General features: G+C 50.3%; 1 annotated feature.

The window, feature by feature from the left end:
* Window positions 2,050-2,901: an enhancer, noted in NCBI's record as "H3K27ac-H3K4me1 hESC enhancer chr19:47793125-47793976 (GRCh37/hg19 assembly coordinates)". NCBI's record gives its function as "activates a minimal SCP1, AML or CMV promoter by ChIP-STARR-seq in naive H9 embryonic stem cells {active_cell/tissue: H9 hESC(naive)}" and the evidence as "EXISTENCE:reporter gene assay evidence [ECO:0000049][PMID:30033119]".

A 7,105-nucleotide genomic window follows, 5' to 3' on the forward strand; every position in this document is an offset into this window, starting at 1 on the left:
AAGGGTTGTAGGAATGCTGCCCATGATGATGATGAGATAGGTGCTTCTCCCCATCTCAAGCCAAGTGAGAGAAAGTTCTAGAAAACCCGGCATGTTTTCCCTGGAGTTTGGAGGACATGATGACACCGTTGTAGAGCTCCAGTAATTTTTTTTTTTTTTTTTTTTTTTAATGAAGTCTCACCCTGTCGCCCAGGCTGGAGTGCAATGGCATGATTTTGGCTCACTGCAACCTCTGCCTCCCGGGTTCAAGCACTTCTTCTGCCTCAGCCTCCCGAGTAGCTGGGATTACAGTTGCCTGCCACCACGCCTAGCTAATTTTTTGTATTTTTAGTAGAGATGGGGTTTCTCCATGTTGGTCAGGCAGGCCTGGAATTCCCGACCTCAGGTAATCCGCCCACCTGGGCCTCCCAAAGTGCTGGGATTACAGGCATGAGCCACTGCACCCGGTCCTGCTTTTTTATTAAAAGGAAGCTGTCTCTGAAGTGTCATACAAGTAAAGGGTCTCATAAGTCTCCAAAGGTTCAGAAATTGTGGTTGTGCTCCATGAACACAACTTTCAATGAGAAGCCTATTATTCAGATTGTCCATCTGTCATGGTAATTTGTTGCCCTGGTCCTAAAGTTGTGATTGAAATTGAATTTTTCCTTTAAGGCTGTACTGGGCATTTGTGACTTTCAGTTGCCCTGGCAACAGCACATCCTCCCCACACTGAATAATACTGATGGTATAAAAAACACATGCAGCCAGGTGCGGTGCATCATGGGTGGACATGGGGAAACCCCATCTCTACTAGAAATACAAGAAATTAGCCAGGCGTGGTGGCATGTGCCTGTAGTCCCAGCTACTCAGGAGGCTGAGGCAGGAGAATCACTTGAACCCAGGAGGCAGAGGCTGCAGTGAGCTGAGATGGCACCACTGTACTCCAGCCTGGGCGACAGAGCAAGACTCTGTGTCAAAAAAACCCCAAAAACAAAAAACATGCAAATAAAGTAAAAAGTGATAGGTGGGACGGCCACCTGTCAGCTGTTGAGCTCTACTGTGGGAGAAGGTCTGGGGAAGGATTGGGAGGGGTGTACGCCATGAAGGGTGAGGCTGGGAGTGTTACACGTGTTATGCACAGTAGCAGGTATTGGTTAGAATGAGATAAGCTGCTGTAACAAATAGACCCCCCTGCTGCCCAGCCAACAATGGCTTAAAAAAGAGAGTTTATGGCTGGGCAAGGTGGTTCATGCCTGTAATCCCAGCACTTTGAAAGGCTGAGGTGGGAGGGATAGCATGAGGCCAGTAATTTGAAACCAGCCTAGGCAACATAGCAAGACCCTGTCTCTATAAGAGAAAAATTTTTAAAAATTAGGTGGGCTTGGTGATGTGTGTCTACAGTCTCAGTATTGGGGCTTAGCCTGGGAGGGTTCTTGACTTTGCCCATGTAAGAATTCAAGGGTGAGCCAGTGGTGTTATTTTTTTTTCTTTTTCCTTTTTTGAGACAGAGTGTTGCTCTGTCACCCAGGCTGGAGTGCAGTGGCATGATCTCAGCTCACTGCAACCTCCACTTCCCGGTTTCAAGTGATTCTTGTGCCTCAGCCTCCCAAGTAGCTGGGATTACAGGCATGTGTCACCGTGCCCGGCTAATGTTTTGTGGAGGTGAAGTTTCACCATGTTGCTGGCTGGTCTTGAATTCCTGGCTTCAAGTGATCCACCCACCTCGGGCTCCCAAGATGCTGGGATTACATGCATGAGTCACCGTGTCTGGCTCAGTGGTGTTAAATAGCAACTTTTACTGAAGCCTCAGTGCACAGCTGCAGCAGAGGAATTGCCCCTTGCAGAGCGGGGCTACCCCACAGGCAGTGTGCCCAGAAGAGCAGCCCAGAGGCAGCACTGCTGTCATATTTATACCCACTTTTAATTATATGCAAATCAAGGGGCAGTTTATGCAAAAATTTCTAGGATGAGGGTGGTAATTTCCAGTCACCGGGTCATTGCCATGGAAAGTGGTGCTAAGGTCCGAGTGTTGCCATGGCAATGGTAAACTGATACGGTACACTGGTGGGTGTGTCTTATGGAAAACTGCTTTTGCCCTAGACCTGTTTCAGCCAGTCCTCAGTTTGGTCCTGTGTACAAGCCCTGCCTCCTACCTCAGTAGGGTAGGGCACTGGGCAGAACTGTGTGACTCCCATTCCAGGCCCCAGCTCCTGGAGGACATTTCGAACACACCGTGAGGGGGAAGGGAAGCTGCTGTGTTGAAGGTAAGGACCCAGTCCTGGCAGGTTCATCACCTGCTGACTAAAGAGCCCTTGGGCCCTGAATAATCAGCAGCGGTGGCCAGGCCAGGTGGTTCACGCTGTGGGCCTTAGGTGAGACTCAAACGTGATGGCTTCAGGTGGAACCTGGCACATTCCCGGCTGTGGTGGCTACATGGGAGAGACTCCTTCTGCTTGAGAAAGCAGAGAGGCCAGGCGTGGTGGCTCATGCCTGTAATCCCAGCACTTTCTGATCAAGTGGATCACCTGAGGTCAGGAGTTCGAGACCAGCCTGGCCAACATGGTGAAACCCTGTCTCCACTAAAAATATAAAAATTAGCTGGGCGTGGTGGGGGTCGGGGGGGGCGCATGTAATTCCAGTTACTCGGGAGGCTGAGGCAGGAGAATCGCTCGAACCTGGGAGGCAGAGGCTGCAATGAGTCCAGTTCACGCCATTGCACTCCAGCCTGGATGACAGAGTAAGACACTGTCTCGGAAAAAAAAAAAAAAAAAAAGCAAAGGGAAGTCTGGGCGTGATGTCTCATGTCTGTAATCCCAGCACTTTGGGAGGCTGAGGTGGGTGGATCATCTGAGGTCAGGAATTCAGGACCAGCCTGGCCAACATGGCGAAACCCCATCTCTACTAAAAATACAAAAATTAGCCAGGTGTGGTGGTGCATGCCTACAATCCCAGCTACTTGGGAGGCTGAGGCAGGAGAATCGTTTGAATCCGGGAAGCAGAGGTTGCAGTGAGCTGAGATTGCGCCACTGCACTCCAGCCTGGGCAACAGAGCAAGACAATGTCTCAAAAAAAAAAAAAGGAAAGCAAAGTGAAGAGTAAATGCAACTTCGTCTTGCAGCTTAGCTGCCAGCTTGGCCACAGAGGGGTAGAGCCCCAAGTGCACTCTTGGGGTCCCCGATTCCAGGCCATGGCTCTTGGACAGCATTTTTGGACCTGCCCTGGGCCAGAGGGAAGTCCACAGCCTTGAAGGGAGAGTTCTAGGCCTGGCAGGATTCACTGCAAGCTGACCGAAGAGCGCTTGGGCCTGGAGTGAACATCAGTGGTGGCCAGGCAGTACTTGCCGTGGGCCTGGGGTGGTGGCCACAGGGAGAGACTTCTTGGCTTGTGGGAAGGAGAGAGAAGAGTGGGAAGGACTTTGTCTTGTGGCTTGGGTAGCCCCTCAGCTATAGTAGAATAGAGCGCCCAGTAGATTCCTAAGGTTTCCAACTCTGGGTTCAAGCTCCTGCATGGCATCTCTGGACCCACCCAGGGCCGGGGGGACCTCGCCATCCTGAAGAAATGAACACAAGTCTGCTGGCTTCACCACCTACTGGCTGTAGAACGCTCGAGCCTAGAGTGAACATAGGTGGTTTCCAGGCTCTGGGTACAGCGGGCCTTGGGTGAGACCCAGGGCTGTGCTGGCTTCAGGTCTGACCCAGTGCAGTCCCAGAGGTGGTGGCCACAGAGGAGCTTGTGTCACCCCTCCCCCAACTCCAGGCATCTCAGCACAGAGAGACTCTGGAAAAAGTAAGGGAAGAGAACAAGAGTCTCTGCCTAGTAATCCAGAGAATTATTATTCTTCTTTTATGAAACAGACTCTTGCTCTGACACCCAGGCTGGAGTGCAGTTGCGTGATCTCTGCTCACTGCAACCTCTGCCTCCCAGATTCAAGTGATTCTCCTGCCTCAGCCTCCCAAGTAGCTGGGATTACAGGCGCCCACCACAATGCCTGGCTAATTTTTTGTAGTTTTAGTAGAGATGGGGTTTCACTATGTTGGCCAGGCTGGTCTCAAACTCCTGACCTCAGGTGATCCACCCATCTCGGCCTCCCAAAGCACTGGGATTACAGGCATGAGCCACCATGCCTGGCTTACATATCTTAACTTTTTCCTTACAGTTTCCCTCTCTCTGTCCCTTACAGGTGCTTCTGGAATAGTATTTTCATCTCGTCCACTTTTTTTTTTTTTTTTTTGAGACGGAGTCTCGCTCTGTCGCCCAGGCTAGAGTGCAGTTGCGCGATCTTGGCTCACTGCGAGTTCCACCTCCTGGGTTCACGCCATTCTCCTGCCTCAGCCTCCCAAGTAGCTGGAACTACAGGCGCCCACTACCACGCCCAGGTAATTTTTTGTATTTTTAGTAGAGACAAGGTTTCACCATGTTAGCCAGGATGATCTCCATCTCCTAACCTCGTGATCCGCCTGTCTCGGCCTCCCAAAGTGTTGGGATTACAGGCGTGAGCCACCGCGCCAGGCTGAAGTGCAGTGGTGTGAACATAGCTCACTGCAGCCTCGATCTCCTGGACTCAAGCAATCCTCCCACCTCAGCCTCCCCAGTAGTTGGTACTACAGGTGTGCACCACCACATCCAGCTAATTTTTTGATTTTTTTATAGAGATGGGCTTTCGCTGTGTTGCCCAGGCTAATTTTGAGCTCCTGGGCTCAAGCGATCTTCCCGTGTCAGCCTCCTAAAGTGCTGGGATTACAGGCCTGAACCACCAAGCCTGGCCTCATTTATTCATTTTTAAAGCCCTGTCTATTCTGCCCTCTGATACACCATCCAACACATAATTATTTCAATAATTGAGTTTTTCATATCCCTCATCTCCCGTTAGCTTCTGCTTCATAACCTCCTCTTCTCGCTTCGACTTGCCATTATCCTCCGTCATTTCTCTGAGGATGTTTGTTATGTGTAGTTTACATGCCTTATTAGCTCTACTTCATTGGGAATAGTTTCTTCCAAGCCCAACTGAGATATTTGGGCCTCCTGGGTATGCTGGCAATTATATGCCTCAGAAAAGGTAACAATTCACTGCTTCTTAAGACTATGGTAGTTTATGGCCAGGCGCAGCAGCTCACGCCTGTAATCCCAACACTTAGGAAGGCCAAGGCGGGCAGATTGCTTGAGCCCAGGAGTTCAAGACCAGACTGGGCAGCATGGTGAAATCTAGTCTCTACCAATAACAACCAAACACGCAAAAAATCCAAAAAACAAAACTGATAATTTTGAGGGTTTTTTTTTTTTGAGCATTGATTTAGAGGTGAAGTAGAGAAACCAATTTGTTTTCTTTTTTCTTTTTTTTTTTTGAGACACGGTCTAGCTGTGTCACTCAGGCTGGAGTGCAGTGGTGCAGTCTCGGCTCACTGCAACCTCTGGCTCCTGGGTTCAGGCAATTCTCCTGTCTCAGTCTCCTGAGTAGCTGGGACTACAGGCTCGTGCCACCACGCCTGGCTAATTTTTGTATTTTTAGTAGAGACGGGGTTTCACCGTGTTGCCCAGGGTGGTCTCGAACTGCTGTCCTCAAGTGATCTGCCTGCCTTGGTCTCCCAAAGTGCTGGGATTACAGGCATGAGCCACCGGGCCTAGCCCTCTCCTCTCGGTTTTCTCTGGCACCATGGAACCTACTTGGACCCCAGGTGCACCCCAAAAGTGTGGGGATGTGTAATGTCTTCCTTTGTAACGCCCCTGGGAAGCTCTTCCCTAAAGGCCAGGCGAGTTTGCTGCATCAATGCCCCAGCCACTTCCTCCTTCATTTTTATTTTATTTATTTTTAAATTGCCTTTATAATAATGGCAAAAGCTGGCTGGATGCAGTGGCTCACGCCTATAATCCCAGCACTTTGGGAGGCCGAGGCAGGTGGATCACCTGAGGTCAGGAGTTTGAGACCAGCCTGGCCAACATGGTGAAACCCCATCTCTACTAAAAACACAAAAAATTAGCCAGGTGTGGTGGCTCAGGGCTGAATCCCAGCCACTCAGGAGGCTGAGGCAGGAGAATCGCTTGAACCTGGGAGGCGGAAGTTGCAGTGAGCTGAGATTGTGCCACTGCACTCCAGCCTGGGCAACAAGAGCGAAACTTCATCTCAAGAAAAAAATGCAAAAGCTTTTCATTTTGATGAAGTCCAATTGGCCAGCCTACATTTAAAAAAAAATTTGAATTTTCATTTTTTTTATTTTTTAGAGACATGGTCTCACTCTAACCCAGGCTGGAGTGCAGTGGTGTGATCATAGCTCACTGTAGCCTCCATCTCCTGAGCTCAAGAGATCTTCCTCTTTTTTTTTTTTTTTTTTTTTTTGAGACAGAGTCTTGCTCTGTCACCAGGCCAGAGTGCAGTGGCATGATCTTGGCTCGTGGCCCACTGCAACCTCTGCCTCCCTGGTTCAAGCGATTTTCTTGCCTTAGCCTCTCGAGTAGCTGGGACTACAGGCGTGCACCACCATGCCCAGCTCTTTTTTTCATTTTTAGTAGAGACGGGGTTTCACCATGTTGGCCAGGACGGGGTTTCACCATGTTGGCCAGGATGGTATCGATTTCCTGACCTCGTGATCCTCCTACCTTGGCCTCCCAAAGTGTTGGGATTACAGGTGTGAGCCACCGCCCTGGCCTCTGTTTTTTTGAGACAGAGTCTTGTTCTGTCACCCAGACTGGAGTGCGGTGGTGAGATCTCGGCTCTGCAGCCTCTGTCTCCCAGGTTCAAGCAATCCTCCTGCCTCAGCCTTGTGAGTAGCTGGGATTACAGGTGTGTGCCACCAGGCTCGGCTGATTTCTTTGTATTAGTAGTAGAGACAGGGTTTCACGGTGTTGGCCAGGCTGGTCTTGAACTCCTGACCTCAAGGGATCTACCTGCCTCGGCCTCCCAAAGTGCTGGGATTACAGGTGTGAGCCACCGTGCCCGGCTCATGATCCTCCTTCCTCAGCCTCCCGAATAGCTGGAACTACAGGCACAAGCCCCATGTCTGGCTAATGAAAAACAAATTTTTTTTGAGAGATGGGATCTCACTATGTTGCCCAGACTGATCATGAACTCCTGGCCTCAGGCATTCCTCCTATCTTGGCCTCCCAAAGTGCTGGGATCACAGGCTTGAGCCAC

The sequence above is a fragment of the Homo sapiens genome, chromosome 19 (assembly GCF_000001405.40).
Source record: "Homo sapiens chromosome 19, GRCh38.p14 Primary Assembly".
NCBI classification, from domain to species: Eukaryota; Metazoa; Chordata; class Mammalia; order Primates; family Hominidae; genus Homo; species Homo sapiens.